We start from the raw sequence: 19,477 nt of genomic DNA, 5'->3' as shown, positions 1-19,477 counted from the left end.
CACCCCTACTGACTGCAGTCTGACAGCAGCCTTCTGCAGGAACCACACGCTACGTTGATTTGTTTCCTGTTTGTTCAAAATCACCGGGTGGTGCTTTGGGTATAGACACTAAAAACAGCAGGCTGGGCACAGTGGCTCATGCCTGTAATCCCAGCACTTTGGGAGGCCAAGGCGGGTGGATCACGAGGTCAGGAGTTCAAGACCGCCTGGACAAGATGGTGAAACACCTTCTCCACTAAAAATACAAAAAATCAGCCAGGTGTGGTGGCAGGCGCCTGTAATCCCAGCTACTCAGGAGGCTGAGGCAAGAGAATCACTTGAACTGGGACGGCAGAGGTTGCAGTGAGCCGAGATCGCACCACTGCACTCCAACCTGGGCGACAGAGTGAGACTCCATCTTAAAAAACAAAACAAAACAAAACAAAAAAAACAAAAAACAGCAAACTGCAGTAGTGTATGGCACTTAGCTCAAGGCTGCTGCACACGTCAAATGTTTTTAAATCTACCTCTCTATGTTTTTCACATTTCTTAAAGAAAACACATTTTTATGATTAAAAAAAAAGCAATTGTTTACCGCAATGTTTCTCAAAGAATATGGCTCAAGGCTGCACATTAGAATCACCTAGGTGTCTGAAAAAAGTATGAATGCTTTTAGGTATTCCCTACGATTCTACTGTCGGCCAAAATTACTCTTCGCTTGCCAACAATGAAGATGACACACTGGCTTGATATTAACCACGCCTGTATTTATTAAAATGTTGACCAAGACGAGAGGTTAAATCTCAGCACTCACACCACTCAGCACATATAGACTTAATACATGCCAATGGGCAATCAAGATGCCCCATAGAGAGAAAAGGACCTGAACCAGGCTTGCTGAGCCCCGAGTCATAAGCCCCTTGCCTTGGTTAGCGACGAGGCCACCCAAGCTGGAGAAGCTTCATCTTTTCTCCCTCCACCTCCCCAGCCAATTACTCATCAAAGACTGTCAGCGCCACGTCTCTCGTTTCCCTGGCATTGACTTCTTTTCCATCCCTATGGCCAATCCTCTTATTCAGTCCAATTTGGTTCAACAAACACCTTTTTGGTTCCTACTTTTGCCAGGCATCGTGCTAGACACTTCCTCTTTGCCAAGCTCCTGGGGCACAATGACACGTGTGGATTCTTCATAAAACCATGGAAGAGGTTCTGACACTGATCATTGTTTAGGACATTTCAATTGTCTTTTAACTTGTCTTCCCTGCTTCACTTCCCCTCTTCCCTCTTCCCATGCCAACTTCCCTCATAGTGATGTACTCTTGTCCACTGCTGTGGCTCACTTCCTTATTCAAAACCATCCGTGGCTGTCCATGGTCAACAAGAGATCCCACACTCTTCCATGCCCCCATTCAAGGCTTTTCTTAATCCAGTTTCAAACCTTAAATCCCTCTTTGCCCAGCGCTCCCTCTGGGCCATGCCATATAAGCCACACAAATGCTCTGCCTCAGCCAAGCTCTTGATTCTGGAATCCAAGTTATTCTGTCCTCTTCTACATTGTAACTACGAGTACTTTTTCCTCCCATTTTTATCTGGCCATCTCTCTGCCAACTAGGCATAAAGTTGCTCCCTGCCATCTATTTCAACAAAGCTTTACACTAGCATTCCAAGTATATGGTGCTCCCACTTCATATCTGCTTACAGAGAGGGGAACAGTGTAGGGCTAAGAGCCTGGATTCTGGGTTCCTGAGTTCAAATCTTGGCTCTACCATGTGTGTGACCCTGGAGAAGTTACTTAACCTCGCATGCCTCTGTTTTCTCCATTGTAAAATAGGGGATGCCAGCACATTTTAACATATTTGAATTCCCAAACAGATTGTACTTAATGGCAGAAACTTTCACATTCTTCCACCATGCCCTTCCTGGTAGATCTATCCAGATATTTTTGAATGAATTGTTCCATTAAAATAGAATTTTTTCTGGCTTGGAGGGGATGTTCCACAATGCTCCAAACTCATTATTGTCATTCCAAGTTTCTATAAGCAATGTAAGTGGGTTTGGAAGCCTTAGTAAACAGAGTGACTTAAATAATCAAAATACTACACACATATGAGCACGATGTCTAATGTTATCAGAGGTTAATTTTAAGTAGTCTGGATAGTTTAGTATATTTCAGGCAAGAGACACCACTGATTTATTTAAAACAGAACTCTTATAGTTCTCAAGAAAGGGCATATTTGTTATAGCCTTCCTACACTCCAATAATAGCAAGCCCAAAATAAACGCTAATATCCACCCACAGGGGGAAAAATCTAGTTCCAAGAAATCACTTCTGCCTGGTGTCTAAAGGCAGAGGTCAGCATTTTTTAAAAGCATGAGACAAGGGGCCATGACATTCAGTATCAGTCTGGTCTGGGCTTCAGACGAGCATGTGCACAGATGGCCCTCTTCATCACGGTCTCCCCAGCCCCCAGAAGACACAGGCCTCCAAGGCAAGCCCATGAAGGCTGAACTCTGCAACTGAACATTTCTTAACAAAAGCAACAGAGGAGCCAAACCAAGGATGCTGGCAGATATGGAGAACTTTGGAAAAGTCATTGAGGTTCCCATATGGGAAGCCTCATTCATTACCCTTTTAAAGATCACAAGGGATTCTCCAAAACCGTCTTGGCTTAGAGTTTTGTGATTTAACTAGATGCCAAGTAGCCAGTGAACACACACACAAATCACCAAAAGCAGGAAAATTCGACTCAAGTAATACTGGAACTCTAGCGTGTGGTCTTGTGCTATGGATTCAGGCCTTAATCTAAGACATTTGTCAGCAATCTGCAGTTTGACCCCACACACTGAAAAGCAATGAGTCTATTTATTGTTAAAACAATGAAATAATAATATGAATGCTTTTGAAATTCTGAAACTTTATTTCCAGGGCATCCTATACACAACTTCTTATCACTTACATTTTTTACTGAAAGTCACTTGGTGTATACCTAGTAGTGTCACATAAGTTGAGAGCTCAAGAACAGGGACTGTAGCTTTTATTTTAATTTTTTGAGACAGAGTCTTGCTCTGTCACCCAGGCTGGAGTGCAGTGGTGCGACCTCAGCTCACTGCAACCTCTGTCTCTTGGATTCTCCTGCCTCCTGCCTCCCAAGTAGCTGGGATTACAGGTGTGTGCCACCACACCTGGCTAATTTTGTATTTTTAGTAGAGATGGGCTTTCACCATGTTGGTCAGGCTGGTCTTGAACTCCTGACCTCAGGTGATCCGCCCGCCTCGGCCTCCCAAAGTGCTGGGATTACAGGCATGAGCCACCACACCTGGCCAGGGACCATGGCTTTTACGTCTGTATCCCAGGCATCTGGCACAAGGGCTGACACAAGGCTAGTGATGAATAAATGTTTACTGAGTGAATGAATGCTTGCCTGAGGAAAAGACTCAAGCAGAACACTGGGCTTAACAGATAATATTGCTACTAAAACACTGAGGAAGTAGCCAGCTTTCACAACTTTTCCTTTTGCCCCAACTGCCCCCAAAATATCCTTTTTATGTCTCCATTGCAACTATTTGAATGTTATTATCTTGACAGTTTCATCTTGACACCTCTCTACTACTGAGAATAAACTGGCTCCCTTCTGTCTATTCTAGCAAATCCAAACTCTTTATACTAGCATTAGAAGACCACAGATCTCTAATCTCAGTCCCGCCTTTTGAAATGCAGTATAATATAGTGCTTAAAAGCAAGAACCCAGAAGCCAGACCACCTGGGTGCACAGCCTCGCTCTACCACTTATTATCTCGGGCAAGTTAGTTGCCCCTGTGTGCCTCAACTGCAAGACACGAGATAATAAGAGTAGCCTCTATCAGAGGGTTGTTGTGAGAATTAAATGAATCAAATATTTATAAAATATTGAAAACCATGTCTGGCACAGGGTAAACATTCAGTAAGTGTTAGCTGGTATGGTTATTATTCAAAGACCCATGGGAAATTCCACTCCGTTATTTTGAATAGCGCTTCTTTTTCTCTAGAATTAGCTGATGTTCATATTCACAATATACTTTCATGGCCAAACCCAGATTTACAGACTGTCTACAGCACAGATGAGATATACCGCAGGCTGTATACAAGCCCAGAAGCTTCAGCTGCCACCATACTTATCCAGAGAATAACTGATTTTTAAGCTACTAAGGAGGTTTGAACTTAGGGGAAAATTCATCCATATCTTGAGCAATGTATCGATGTCCCATCAAAATAAACTGCAGAATATACAATTAAGGGAAAACTTGTATCTGCATAGGAAACTGTGGTAAGATGGTATCCTCAAGCTAGAAATTTCAGGATATCTCTTAGAGTGTTAAGTCAGAGGGGACAAATTTGAAGGAAGGCCAATTGGACCAGTGATGTCAACAAGCTGCCTTCTTGTCTGCCAGGAAAATGTCTGGAAGAGATCCCAACAAAATCCCATTCACAGTTCCTAATTCAGAGGAATAAAGGGTGATGGTGAGGGTATGTCAAGTCTACCTGATTCCCACTTGGTGTCACCACAAAAGGCACCACACCAACAGCACACCAAGCAAACAAGGGAGGCCAAGAGTACAGGTGTGCGCAGCCAGTGCCAAGGTGCCCAGCAAGAAAAGGGCACTGCTCCCATGAATTCCACACTGCTCCTGGCAAGGAAAAGAGCATCTGGCAGTCACCTCCAATGCACATATTCCTTGGGTGACAGAATTCTGAATTAGCAAAGTGTAGAAATAGCAAACTGTAGAACAATAACTACAGCTTTTCCTTCCGCTTTTTTATTTTGGACAGAAATATTTGGGGTTTTGTTTTTGTTTTTTTAAATTTTAGAGATGGGATCTCACCGTGTTGCCCAGGCTGGTCTCAAACTCCTGAGCTCAAGCAATCCACCTGCCTCAGCCTCCCCAAGTGCTGGGGTTCAGACATGAGCCACTGTGGTCGGCCTGGACTAAAATATTTGAATACAAATCTTACAACTTCTAATAGACCCCATCTCATTCCTCAATTCCATAGCCCTCCCTCTATAAATATGAGCAGACAGAAATGGCACAGTTCCTAAGAAAAGCTTTAGCAGTCCAAAAGAAGAGAAGTTCTTTGAGGAATCAGAGAACATTTGTTCCTGCAAAACAGAATGACTCTAAGAAACCAGACAGGTTTTCTAATGTGTGCTTTCAATTAGATTCAGGAAAAAATATGTCCATGACACTGCTCTAGAAAACAATCTGAAATCAGAAATATGCCAAATTTAAAATGTGTTGGAAGCAGCAAAGAGCAGATTGAGGAATCCAGATAATTTTGAAGCTTTTTTTGGTTTTGTTTTTTGTTTTTGAGAGAGGGTCTCACTCTGTCACCCAGGCTGGAGTGCAGTGGTGGGCTCATAGCTCACTGCAGCTTCAACCTCCTAGGCTCAAGCTGTCTTCCCACCTCAGTTTCCTGAGTAGTTGAGACTACAGGTGCAAGCCACCATGCCCAGCTAATTTTTAAATTTTTTTTTTTTGTAGAGATGAGGTCTGTGTTGCCCAGGCTGGTCTCAAACTCCTAAGCTCAAGCGATCCTCATCTTGGCCTCCCAGAGTGCTGGGATTACAGGTGTAAGCCACCGTGCCAAGACATCTAAAGAACTTTCTCCTAAAGGTGGTGATCTATTTGGAATGAGTAACAGGTAGTAATTCCAATAACTCCATAATTACCCACAGTATTTTTAAAAACCAATCTGTTCTCAAGACCTTCCTTCAAAATTTTACGCTAATACTACTTTCCTTAACTTGTCAAAAATCCTTCAAGCCCAGCATAAATGCCAGCACCTTCAGCCTCAGCACATCCTGCACTACATTAGGAGTATCTGTGTGCTTACCTGGCCTCTGAATTGTTCTATTTAGTATCCTGGCTGTACCAACCATTTTGGCACCAGAGACCAGTTTCATGGAAGACAATTTTTCCATAGACCAGGGGCCGGGGGAGATGGTTTTGGGAGAAAACTGTTCCACCTCAGATCATCAGCAATTAGATTCTGATAAGGAGTACTCAACCTAGATCCCTCACATGATCAGTTCACAGTAGGACTTGCTCTTCTATGAGAGTTTAATGTTGCCACTCATCCGACAGGAGGCAGAGCTCAGGTGATAATGCCTGCTTGCCTACCACTCACCTCCTGCTGTGCAGCCTGGCTCCTAACAGGCCACAGACAAATACCAGTCTGTGGCCCAGGGACTGGGGATTCCTGAATTACTCAATCACTAGCAGGAATTCTGCACATTATAGACAGCAAAGTAAAACATGGCAAACATTGAAAAGATCATTCTTACAAAGAAAGTTGTCGATGTAACCCTAAAGAACTCTGGTGTTTTTTCTCACTGTTATCTCAATTTGTTCAAACCCACATTCTGGCTGGGCATGATGGCTCATGCCTGTAATCCTAGCACTTTGGGAGGCTAAGGCAGGAGGATCCCTTGAGCTCAGGAATTTGAGACCAGCCTGGGCAACACAGTGAGACCTCATCTCTGTCAAAAACAAACAAAAAAGCTAACCCACAATTGACACAGACTTTTAAGAAAATGCTCTAATTTAACCTGAATATCAGTCTACTTAATGAACGGCTTTACAAAGCATTTCCATAACTATGGAAATTTAGGGCAGTTTGGAATTAAAAAAAAAACAAAAAACACTTGCCATTTTGATTTTTATTTTGAGATGGAGTCTCACTCATTGCCCAGGCTGGAGTGCCTGGTGGAGCGATCTCGGCTCACTGCAACCTCCGCCACCCGGGTTCAAGCTATTCTCCTGCCTCAGCTCCTGAGTAGCTGGGATTACAGGCACACGCCACCATGCCCAGCTAATTTTTGTAGTTTTAGTAGAGACGGGGCTTCGCCATGTTGGCCAGCCTGGTGTCGAATTCCTGACCTCAGGTGATCCGCCCGCCTTGGCCTCCGAAAGTGCTGGGATTACAGGCGTGAGTCACCGCGCCCAGCTGAATTTTTCTTATACATTGCAAAGCACAGTCCAGCCCTGCCCCCTACCAAAAGGTTGAAAACCACCTATCGAGACCTGCTGTGAAGTTTAAATGAGATAATGCATAAAAACCATAGTATGTGCCTTGCACATATTAACTGCTGAGTAAAAGTTCACTATTTTGTCATGATCACTTGTATCACGTATTCTGCACTCTGTGAGGTCCTATGAGTACCACAGGAAAACCACAGCCAAGTTTCCTAACTCGCAGAGCTTATAGGCTGATACTGGAATTGTACAGACAAAAAGATGCAGTCCTATGACGGCACCATTTCTCTGCATGCTAAAACTCCACTCTAATTTATCAAGCTCTAGGCACTTAAATAAACCCTGCCGAATTAATTTCCCTGAAGCACTTCAATGATTCCAACAAATTACAAAATAGACCATAAGATGAATAACATTTGGAATTTCTTTATACAAGTTAGAGTGTTCACATTTTCTAGTTTTCAAGATGATGACTACAACAACTTTCAAAGTTACTTGGAAGATTTATGTTGTAAGAAAGGCACTTTTCCAAATTACCACATGCATTTGTAAATGCCAAGTAATATTTAGTGCATTCAGTTGTTGAAATATAAGCCAGATTGTGAAACTTACTAAAAGCTTTTACGTACAGAGACTTTAACACTCAGAGATGATGAAAAATGTAAAAAAATCTTCAGTAATTAAGGACATAGGACACCTAAAATGCTAAAGACCTGGTGTAAGTATATATTCTAGCTTTTCATTAAGTTTGATAGTATAATTTCTTTACAAAACTTTTGCATATATAAACAAGATTCACCGTAAACAAGTTTCAAAGATACAGAAAATTTAAAAATAAAAATGAAACCACTATCAGTCCTATCACTCAAGAATTACCCTGCCCATTTTTTCTATCAGTCCATATTTTTTCTATGCATATAGCAAATATTTTGCTCAACAGCCCAGTTTTCTCACCAAGTAACATATGCTGAACTTTCTTCCTATCAATAAAGAGCTGCATCAACATTCTTTAAAGCTAAACGATATTAAACATCTAGGTTGCCACCAGGTTTTCATTATAAGCAGCTCCACCTCTAGCATCTTTCAACCTTCATGTCTGTGTAGTATAGTGTGACTTCAAGGATAAATGAGATGGTTGGGTGTGGTGGCTCACACCTGTAATCCCAGCATTTTGGGAGGCTGAGGCAGGCGGATCATAAGGTCAGGAGTTCGAGACCAGCCTGGCCAACATGGTGAAACGCTGTCTCTTCTAAAAATACAAAAATTAGCTTGGCGTGGTGGTATGTGCCTGTAATCCCAGCTACTCGGGAGCTGAGGCAGGAGAATTGCTTGAACCTGGGAGGCGGAGCTTGCAGTGAGCCGAGATTGCGCCACTGCACTCCAGCCTACGCAACAGAGCAAGACTCTGTCAAAAAAAAAAAAGAAAGAATAAATGAGATATGCACAAATACTGCTGGAATCTTCCTGGCCTGCCAGTTAATGCCCCAATTCATACATTTATAATTTTTTTAATCTTTGAGATCACTAATGACATCATTCAATAGAAATCCTTTTCCTTCTACTCCTTCTACTAAAAAGTCTTTAGGGGCTGAGATAAAAGCCTTGGTATGTCTTCTATTGCACCAGCATTAGAGACAAAAGCCTACTGCTGAGGATAGCGAACCACAAAGTTACCACCTTCAGAAAGAGGGGGGTCATATACCTCCTTTAGAAGTTACTAAAAGATAACAGAGGTAGCCCTGCTAATACCAGCTTCCTAGACTATATCAGAACACTGGGGAGCGGGCAATCAGAATCCCTCAAGGGAAGAGCAGTGCTCGTTCCTTCAGGCACCCCAGCCCCCCCAGTTCACTGACCCCACCCCCTGCCCACCAACTGGTGGGGTCATCAACGGAATCACACAGAGACCAGGGGGGCGGGCCTAAAGAGGGGAAGACCAACATCACTTTCACTGGCTGCTCATCTGCTAAGGCAGTAGGTTGCTGATTTCTCTGTGTTCCTCTGAGCCACAGAGAAGAAAAGAACTGGAGAGAAAAGCGTGGCACGGTGGTAGCTCCAGAGAAGCAGCCTATGTACCCCCAGCTGGGAGCGGCAGGGATGAGTGAGTTTCCTGGGACACTACGTTATGAAGCCTGACTTGTGCTATCTTGCCTGTACCCCAACCAAGATGGCTGCCCTTGGGGGAGAGGACCCCTGCAGTAGTAGGAGGGCAGCAGGAAGAGTGGGAAAAGTTCCAACTGAAGGCAGAGCCCGAGTCACGGAGCTGAGATGTGGGACACTGAGCTAACATCTGAGCAGCAATAAGAGGACAGCATCTGTATCCAGCTGAGCAGAGAGGTGTTCATTCACCTTCCCTGTGACCCCAGTGCTTCCTCTCTGTCCCCAACCTTTGCGGGAGACAGGTTGATCCCAGATGAGAAAGAGGCAGAAGGAGAAAAAGGACAGAATGCCCTCTATCTCTTCTCTCCCTTCAGGTGCTTTAGAGAAGGGTCCAGATGCTCTAGGTGAAAGAGAGATTTAAATCAAGTTTGAGATTCAGTTTTTGAACTGGATTACTCTGAAAGCTTATGGAGGTTGAACATTGTGATGGGACAGGAAAAGGAGGTTCTACCTGGCATGGTTGAAATCAGCAACTAGAGAGAAATAAAGACCCTTTCAAATGTACACCTCATTAACTTGAGCAGTTCAATAAATCAATTACATCTCAAATATGGTTAAATGCATATGTTCAATAGGAGCATTCGAGTACTAACACAGACCTGGGCTCAGATCCTGGCTTGTTCATTCATTCGCTTATTTAGCAGTATTCATTGAGCACCTTCTATGCATTGGACAGGCCTGTGAACAAGAACTACAAAGCCCTGTGCTCTGGGAAGTTAAATTCCAGGTGTATATATAATTCTGGAGAATTTCTTTAACCTTGTGCCTCAGATTTCTCATGGAATCTTGCTCTGATATTCCTCCTCTGATCCATTCCTAAAAATCATGGAAATAGAATATAATAAAACAATCTTTTTTCTCAAAGCAACATACACTTCAAACAAATAAACTGAGCAGATCAGTTTGTGTCTCAGAAACACAAGTACAAGTCACACTGAGGCTTCTCAACACAGAGAAGTTACTCTCCAGGCTCTCAGGACAGAGTGAGGATAGTGGCTATGAGAAAGTCAGGAATAGTTTGCCTTGTGTTAATTATAGCCTTATTATCATTGTTTCTAGGTGTACTGGGGAAAAATCCTCGAAGTAATCCTATTAGAGAAAAAATATATATACATATTATATATATACATAAATGACTTTAAAATATATATCATAAATATAATATATATATGTATACATATATATGACTTTTAAATATCAAGCAGGTACCAGGCACCTGTAATCCCAGCACTTTGGGAGGCCAGGAGGGTGGATCACCTGAGGTTAGGAGTTCAAGACCAGCCTGGCCAACGTGGCAAAACCCCATCTCTACTAAAAACACAAAAATTAGCCAGGCATGGTGGCATACACCTGTAGTCTCAGCTACTCAGGAGGCTGAGGCAGGAGGATTGCTTGAACCCGGGAGGCAGAGGGTGCAGTGAGCCAAGATCACGCCACTGTACTCTAGCCTGAGTGACAGAGCAAGACTCTGTCAAAAAAAAAAAAAAAAAAATCAAGCATGGTAAATATTTTGCAAGATTATTGGTAAGAGCTAGTACCTGTATAAGTTAAGATTAGAACTATCTTGGTAAAATTAGTGACAGTGACTCTGCACACCCATTGCCATTGCTCTTTCTATATATACTGTCGAGTCCATGGGCCACATTTGTCTGGCTCTTTGTAGTGATTAAAACCCCTCCTGGGCAAGGGTCCATTGGCTGCAGCTGAAACCCATGGCAGAACAGAAACACCACCTTCCCTGGCAGCAGGGAGCCCAGGCCTCTTGGGCAGTCCCTAGACAACTGATTGTCCCTAGGCATGCCCAATGCTGGCTGATCCCATGTTGGACTTGCACTTCTGCTTTTTCTGACCACCCCAACTCCAGGGGCCACTCCCATTTCCAGGGCCTGTGGTCATCTCCGAGGAGTCTTTAGGAGACTGAAAACAGACAGCAGGAGGCCGAGGCATTCCCTTTCCTGACCTCTCCCTCCACTCCACCGAGCTCCTGGGATGACTGCCCTGCAAAGCCTCCCTGAGCACATGGCCCCCTGGCCGCATCAGGACTCCTGGAAGGTCAGGTCATTCGTTTTTGGGTTAATTCTCAACTGCCTTGCTTTGAATAAGTGTAAACTTCAGCCAGCCAGTGCAAGCACAGTGTTTTCAACTGTCCTCTATCAAAACAGAAGTTGAGATGACAATGTTTACAAAGAAAGTTTATCACAGTAGCAGCAAATTAACTATTCATTTCTTTATTTTTTTTTCCCCAGATGAGTTCTGAGATGCTTATTACCTTTTTTTCTTTTTGTTCCTGCAAAAGAGAAGCACTTAGGCAGCTGAGTGCCCAGGAACTGGGAAACAGAAAAACAATGTGGAAGTAAGATGGCTTTGCCCACAGCCTCCACATATCCAGGCTGGAAAATGCAAAACTTCCACAGGTCAAAAGTCCCAAGGCCATTTTCTCTTGCCCGTTCTAAAGTAAATAAGTAGATGCACAAATACACAGATGTTTAATAGAAGAGTTCATCTGAGGTATATCATTGCAAGATAATTTATCATTCACTTAAAACATAAAATAAATCCCTAATATTACTTTGTTAGACAAAGTATCTTTATTTTAGGTGAAGATAAGTATGTAATTTAAATATATGTATATGAGTATATTTTCTCAATTTACTATAGTATACATTTTTATCTATTTATTTTAAGGCCTTAGAAACAAAACATAACCACATAACCAAACACTGTAAGAAGGGGGATAAAAATCCACACCCATACTTTAATATTCTACTAAAAACAAAGAGCATTTTGTTGTATTTCCCTTAAGTGAACTTCCCTAAGTTATCTCTTTTCTAGCATAACTGATTTTTGTCCTGCTTTCTTTTACTCTGATACATCAAAGGTAGCCTTATGGGGCAATAAATTGTTCTGTTTTTCTTGTTTTTGCTTTTGTTTTTTCTTCCTTTCTTTTGAAATGGAGTTTCACTCTTGTTGCCCAGGCTGGGAGTGCAATGGCACGGCCTCAGCTCACTGCAACCTCCACCTACCAGGTTCAAGCGATTCTCCTGCCTCAGCCTCCAGAGTAGCTGGGATTACAGGCGCCCACCACCACGCCCAGCTAATTTTTGTATTTTTAGTAGAGATTAGGTTTCACCATGTTGGCCAGGCTGGTCTTGAACTGCTGACCTCAAGTGATCCTCCTGCCTCGGCCTCCCAAAGTGCTAGGATAACAGGCGTGGGCCACCATGCCTGGCCCTGTTTTTATTTTTTATTTTTTTTCGAGACAGGGTCTCAGTTTGTCTCCCAAGCTGGAGTGCAGTGGCAGGATCTTGGCTCATTGCAACCTCTGCCTCCCGGGTTCAAGTGATTCTTGTGTCTCTGCCTCCCGAGTAGCAGAGACTACAGGTGCATGCCACTAAGCCTGGCTAATTGTTGTATTTTTAGTAGAGACGGGGTTTCGCCATGTTGACCAGTCTAGTCTTGAACTCCCGCTTCAAGAGACCTGCCTGCTTCAGCCTCCCAGAGTGCTGGGATTACAGGCATGAGCCACCATCCATGCCTGGCCAATAAATTGTTATTTTATAAGATACATAAAATTCCATAAAGTTTTATACTTATTTAACTCAACATTCATTTGTTAACATGTAGGTTATTTTTAGGAAAGTGATACACAGGACATGGCTAGTACTACATTTGTGCATATAAAGACACCAGCAAAGTATGAGAGCACTGGATATCAATCACTGTAGAAAATGCTTACCACGATAACAATAGGTGAAAACTAGTATTTTTATTATGGAAATACTTAAATATATCCAAAAATAGAGTGGATAATTCATCATCCTGCTTCAATGATTATCAACTCATGTCAGTCTCGTGCCTTTCAGCTGTAACCCCATTTTAGACCCTTGCCTGCCAGATCATCTGAATTAATCCCAGACCACATAGCACAGCATCAATAAATATTTCAGTATGTGTCTCTAAACAATGAGAACTTTTTTTAAAAAAATGAACACAATAACACATCTTTAGAAAAAATTATACTAGTGCCTTAATACATCAAATATTCTGTTGGTATCCAAATTTTCCCAACTGTCTCATGAATTTTTCTTGGTTTGATGAAATCAGGTTACAAATGAGGTTCATACATTGCAAATGGTGGCTCTGTCTCATGAGTCTCTTAATTTATGAGTTTCTTCTTCCTGCCCCAACCCCCTTTTCTTTTAATCTACTTGTTGAAGAAGCCAGGTGGATTCTAGAGTGGCTCATGCTCTTGATTCTGACTGATCCTATCTCACCATGACATTTAACATGTTTTCCTATCTTCAGTATTTCGCATTAATTGGCAATAGGATTTAGAGGCTGACCAGATTCAAGTTGAATATTTTGGCAACAATAAATACTTCATAGAAGGTAGCGCGTACTTCCATCTGGAAGCACAAAATGTCTGGTGGCTTCTCTCTTTTCTTGAAGTCACTGGGGTCTTTCAAGGATTTTTAATATTTTTAGTGTTTTATTATAAAAATTACAAAAATTAAAAGTTCAAACAAAAGGAAAGAATATAATGAAGCCCCATGTATTCACCCTTCAGCTTGTGTGTGTGTGTATAGACAGGCACTTGCTCTGTCACTCAGGCTGGAGGGCAGTGGTGCAATCACAGCTCACTGCAGCCTCAACTTCCCGGGCTCAAGCAATCCTCCTGCCCCAGCCTCCCAAGTAGCTGGGACTACAGGTGTGTGCCACTACCCCTGGCTAATTTTTGTATTTTTTGTAGAGACATTGTGTTGTCCAGGCTGGTTCTGAACTCCTGGGCTCAAAGGATCCACCCACATATACCTACTAAGTGCTAGGCATGAGCCACCACACCTTGCCTCACTAGCTTTATCAAATAACTCACTTATCTGCCTCACCTTTATTTTATCGATGCCCTCACTCATTCCCTGTAGAAACCTAGATTATGTAAGCAAAATTCAGACATTTTATAATTTCAACTCTCAATATTTCAGTGTGTATCTCTGAAATCTTTTGTCTATCTGTTTAGAGACAGAGTCTGTTGCCCAGGCTGGAGTGCAGTGACGCCATCATGGCTCACTGCAGCCTTAAACTCCTCAACTCAAGAGCTCCTCCCCAGCCTCAGCCTTGTAGCTGGGAGTACAGGTGCCACCACACCTGGCTAATTTTTAAACATTTTTTTTTTTTTGTAGAAACAGGGTGTATTAGTCTGTTTTCATGCTGCTAATAAAGATATACCCACGACTGGGTAATTTATAAAGGAAAGAAGTTTAATGGACTCACAGTTCCAGATGGCTGGGGAGACATCACAATCATGGCAGAAGACAAAGGAAGAGCAAAGGCACATCTCACATGGTAGCAGGCAAAGACAGAGCATGTGCAGGGGAGCTCCCCTTTATAAAACCATGAGATCTTGTGTGACTTATTCACTATCACGAGAACAGCACAGGAAAAACCGCCCCGTGATTCAGTTACCTCCCACTGGGTCCCTCCCATGGAGTGAGGATTATTACAATTCAAGGTGAGATTTGGTTAGGGCACAAAGCCAAACCATAGCAATCTGCCCCTGGCCCCTCCCAAATCTCATGTTCTCACATTTCAAAACCAATCATGCCTTCCCAACGGCCCCCCAAAGTCTTAACTCATTTAGCATTAACTCAAAAGTCCACAGTCCAAAGTCTCATCTGAGACAAGACAAGTCCCTTCCATCCATGAGCCAGTAAAATTAAAAGTAAGTTGGTTACTTCCTAGATACAGTGGGGGTACAGACATTGAGTAAATATAGCCCTTCCAAATGGGAGAAATTGGCCAAAACAAAGGGGCTACAGGCCCCATGCAAGTCCAAAATCCAGAGGGGGAGCCAAATCTTTAAGATGATCCCTTGTGACTACAAGTCTCACACCCAGGCCACACTGCTTTCACAGGCTGGCATTGAGTGTCTGTGGCTTTCCCAGGTGCACGGTGCAAGCTGTCAGTGGATCCACCATTCTGGGCTCTGTAGGACAGTGGCCTTCTTCTCACAGCTCCAGTAGGCAGTGCCCCAGTGGGGACTCTGTGTGGGGGTTCGCACTCCACATTTATCTTCCACAGTGCCCTAGCAGAGGTTCTCCATGAGAGCCCCACCCCCATGCAAACTTCTGCCTGGATATCCAGGCATTTCCATACATCCTCTGATATCTAGGCGGAGGTTCCCAAACCTCAATTCTTGATTTCTGGGCACCTGTAGGCTCAACACCATGCAGAAGCTGCCAAGGCTTGAGGCTTGCACCCTCTGAAGCCACAGCCCAAGCTGTACCTTGGCCCCTTTGAGCCACGGCTGGAGCAGGTGGTATGCAGGACACCAAGTCCCTAGGCTGCACACAGCAAGGGGGCCCCAGGCCTGGCCCAGGAAACCATTTTATTCTCCTAGGCCTCTGGACCTGTGATGGGAGGGAGCGCCACAAAGGTCTCTGGCACATCCTGGAGACATCCTCCCCATTGACTTGGTGATTAACATTCGGCTTCTTGTTACTTATGCAAATTTCTACAACAGACTTGAATTTCTTCCCAGAAAATGGGTTTTACTTTTCTATTGCATCATCAAGCTGCAAATTTTCCAAACTTTTATGCTCTACTTTCTCTTGAATGCTTTGCCGCTTAGAAATTTCTTCCACCAGATACCCTAAATCATCTCTCTCAACTTCAAAGTTCCACAGATCTCTAGGGCAGGGGCAAAATCCTGCCAGTCTCTTTGCTAAAACATAACAAGAGTGACCTTTACTCCAATTCCCAACAAGCTCCTCAAATCCATCTGACACCACTTCAGCCTAGACTTCATTGTCCATATCACTATCAGCATTTTGGTCAAAGCCATTCAACAAGGCTTCTCTAGGAAGTTCCAAACTTTCCCACATCTTCCTGTCTTCTTCTGAGTCCTCCAAACTGTCTCAACCTCTGCCTGTTACCCAGCTCCCAAGTCACTTCCACATTTTTGGGTATCTTTACAGCTGTACCTCATTCTCTGCAGTACCAACTTACTGTATTAGTCTGTTCTTATGCTGCTAATAAAGACATACCTGAGATTAGGTAATTTATAAAGGAAAGAGGTTTAATGAATTCACAGTTACGCATGACTGCGGAGACCTCACAATCATAGCGGAACACAAAAAAGAGCAAAGGCACATCTTACATGGTGGCAGGCAAAAAGAAAGCATGTGCAGAAGAACTCCCCTTTATAAAACCATCAGATCTCATGGGACTTATTCACTATCCTGAGAACAGCACGGGAAAAATCTGCCCTTATGATTCAATTACCTCCCACCAGGTCCCTCCAATGGCACATGGGGATTATTACAATTCACCCAAGTATCACAGGGTGATATGGTTTGGCTCTGTGTCCCCATCCAAATCTCACCTTGGATTGTAATTCCCAGTGTTAGGGGAGGGACCTGGTGGGAGGTCATTGGATCATGGGGGCGGATTTCCCCCTTGCTGTTCTTGTGATAGTGAGTGCGTTCTCATGAGGTCTGGTTGTTTGAAAGTGTGTAGCACCTCTCCCTTCACTCACTCTTTCTCCTGCCACCATGTGAAGACGTGCTTGCTTCCCCTTCACCCTTCCACCATAAGTTTCATGAGGCCTCCCCAGGCATGCCTCCAGTACAGCTTTTGGAACTATGAGTCAATTAAACCTCTTTTCTTTATAAATTACTGAGTTCCAATAGTTCTTTATAGCAGTGTGGGAAGAAGCTAATACACAAGGGTCTTGCTATGTTGCCTGGGCTGGTCTCAAACTCCTGGCTGGCCTCAAGCAATCCTCCCACCTCAACCTCCCAAAGCACTGGGATTATACGCATGAGCCACCGTGTCTGGCCTCTCTGAAATCTTTTACAAAATACTAGTATAACGTCTAAATATTTTAAGAATAATTCCTTAATATTATCAAATAACAAAAGTATTCACATTTTAAAATTGTAATGTATTTGTGGCTTTTTTTTTTTTTTTTGAGAAGCAGTTTCGCTCCTGTTGCCCAGGCTAGAGTGCAATGGCACAATCTCAGCTCACTGCAGCCTCTGCCTTCCAGATTCAAGCGATTCTCCTGCCTCAGCCTCCCAAGTAGCTGATTACACGCATACGCCACCACTGCTGGCTAAATTTTGTATTTAGTAGAAACAGGGTTTCACCATGTTGGTCAGGCTGGTCTCAAACTCCTGACCTCAAGTGATCCACCCACCTCAGCCTCCCAAAGTGCTGGGATTACAGGCATGAGCCACCATGCCTGGCCAGCATCTTATTTTAATTGCAGCACTTGGTTATCGGTGACGTATTCTTCATGTTCAGTTAGTAGCTGTGAGTTGTCTTCTGATGTCCTCTGCTTGTTTTATCTTTGAGTTGATGCGCTTACAATAAAGACTGGTAGCCATTTTGGCTACAAATATTTTCTGTCTGGTATTTGCCTACCAAGAGGGAAGGGGGTGGGAGAGTCTTCCCTCTTGACTATCCACTACACAATAAACTTAAGCTTTCTAATTTAAGTGTACTTTGTGACTTCTTCTATTGCTTCTAAGCTCACAATGTCTTTCTTCCTTCAAAGATAGAATGAAAATTCAATTCTTTTTTTTCTAGCTTCACAAAGTCACCACATCACTAATTACATTCAGGTCTTCTACGACCCCTAAATCATAGACACTGACAGAAAATAATGCTTCATAATGGTCATATATTTCTAAACAATTTGAATCCTTTTGCAGACTACCCATCAATTTTGTTCCTAAAGAAAAATTCCAATCCCTTTTAGAGAAAGGGAAACCCTGTCACCTAGTTTTAAAGCACTCAAAATAATTAGAACTTTAATTAGTTCTATCTAAGAATAAAAAGTAGAGATTAATTTAAATCATAATGAAGTTGGTTTTTTTTTTCCCTCTCTCTCTCTCCAATGGCTTCTGCTTTAACTGTTACCAACATATTTTACAGAGACCCAGGCTTTTTCATGGGAGTGCACAAGCTTGGTAACCTAGGAGACCCCACCTCTCCATTCTCCCAGAGCCTATTGCCTTAGAAAAGCAACTTCAATTTAACAGAGGGCCAGTTTTCTTAGCCTCAATCAAATGGACAAGAGTAACAGAAGAAAAGTAAAGCTCAAATATTACCACAACTATAGTCCTAGATTTACTTTCAAGCAAGAATTCCCACGGTAGCTGAGTAGGATTGTGGTGCAAAGTCCCAAGGAAAACTAAGCTACAGGTTAAGACACCAAGGCAATGCATCAGAGTCTCTGAGAATCAACTCCTGATCCTTGAAGCAGCATCCTTTTTTCCTATTTGAACTTCAGTTCTGTCCTTGAATGCTGACAGAGAGCTGTTTCTTGCTCTCTGTTCTCAGAATTCTCATGGCTTGGATTTCTCGGTCCACTTGCCAGTTTTATCACTTTACTCTTATTCTCCATGGCTTCCTGTCACGCCATGGGGAGTTAGGGGAAAGTGTTCACTGATAGCCCACATATGATTTGTGGGTTACAATTTATTAGATTCTAGTTTTGCCCAAATACCGGGCATACTTTAATAACCAAAACATTTCATTATCTGGATAGAAATGGGTATCTTATCAAGCAGATTTAAAGGATATGGATCTGTCCTCTAGAAAGGAACAACTAGGCCGGGTGTGGTGGCTCACACCTGTAATCCCAGCACTTTGGGAGGCTGAGGCAGGTGGATCACTTGAGGTCAGGAGTTCAAGACCAGCTTGGCCAACATGGTGAAAGCCCGACTCTACTAAAATACAAAAATTAGCTGGATGTGGTAGTGCATGCCTGTAATCCCAGCTACTCAGGAGGCTGAGGCAGGAGAATCTCTTGAATCCAGGAGGCAGAGTTTGCAGTGAGCCGAGATTGCGCCACCGCACTCCAGCCTGGGCAACAGAGTGAAAACTCCGTCTCAAAAATAAATAAATAAAAGGAGTTAGTGTATAAAATACTGCTTTATGCCATAATAAAGATAATAATAATACTTAAGGCAAAAAGTCACACCAAGGCAAAAAAGCATAGACCAAGCAATTTCCTAGCATGAGTATTGAAATTTTGAAGCATATGTAAATACCAGTCCACAGCCTATATCACACGTAATGCTTATATCATCAACAGAAATTTATGGGTGATGAGTATATTAAAACTAAATATATGGTCAACTCACTCATGTATTAAAACAAAAGGTTGATTCAAATAATTAAGTGATGTTATACATGTAAAAACACATTGTTAACATTTAACATTTAGCTTTCCTTAAATCAGGTGAAATTTCACTATTCTTATATAACGTAGGCCCAGACTACCACTTCCTCATCTCCACTATGCGACGGTTAATGTTAT

The 19,477-nt window shown here is 42.8% G+C and overlaps 1 protein-coding gene across 19 annotated transcripts in view, besides 3 other annotated features; it reads right to left on the bottom strand.

The window, feature by feature from the left end:
- The window catches only part of RAI14 (retinoic acid induced 14), a 176,285-nt gene that overhangs the window by 89,531 nt on the left and 67,277 nt on the right, over positions 1-19,477 (bottom strand). The window contains exon 1 of one of the 19 annotated variants that reach the window (XM_047417090.1): positions 9,750-10,194. The exons of the other annotated variants lie outside the window; for them this stretch is intronic. Coding sequence (XP_047273046.1) covers positions 9,750-9,775 — 26 coding nt within the window. The 5' untranslated portion in view covers positions 9,776-10,194. Of the gene's footprint in view, positions 1-9,749; positions 10,195-19,477 lie in introns of those variants that run through there. 19 annotated transcript variants of the gene reach the window in all.
- Positions 5,834-6,373: an enhancer, noted in NCBI's record as "NANOG hESC enhancer chr5:34736814-34737353 (GRCh37/hg19 assembly coordinates)". NCBI's record gives its function as "activates a minimal SCP1, AML or CMV promoter by ChIP-STARR-seq in naive H9 embryonic stem cells {active_cell/tissue: H9 hESC(naive)}" and the evidence as "EXISTENCE:reporter gene assay evidence [ECO:0000049][PMID:30033119]".
- Positions 6,380-6,880: an enhancer, noted in NCBI's record as "H3K4me1 hESC enhancer chr5:34736307-34736807 (GRCh37/hg19 assembly coordinates)". NCBI's record gives its function as "activates a minimal SCP1, AML or CMV promoter by ChIP-STARR-seq in primed H9 embryonic stem cells {active_cell/tissue: H9 hESC(primed)}" and the evidence as "EXISTENCE:reporter gene assay evidence [ECO:0000049][PMID:30033119]".
- Positions 6,881-7,381: an enhancer, noted in NCBI's record as "H3K4me1 hESC enhancer chr5:34735806-34736306 (GRCh37/hg19 assembly coordinates)". NCBI's record gives its function as "activates a minimal SCP1, AML or CMV promoter by ChIP-STARR-seq in primed H9 embryonic stem cells {active_cell/tissue: H9 hESC(primed)}" and the evidence as "EXISTENCE:reporter gene assay evidence [ECO:0000049][PMID:30033119]".

Source organism: Homo sapiens, chromosome 5 (genome assembly GCF_000001405.40).
Source record: "Homo sapiens chromosome 5, GRCh38.p14 Primary Assembly".
Classification (NCBI taxonomy): domain Eukaryota; kingdom Metazoa; phylum Chordata; class Mammalia; order Primates; family Hominidae; genus Homo; species Homo sapiens.
The sequence above is the reverse complement of the archived record's forward strand: the minus strand, read 5'-3'. Positions and strand labels throughout refer to the sequence as shown.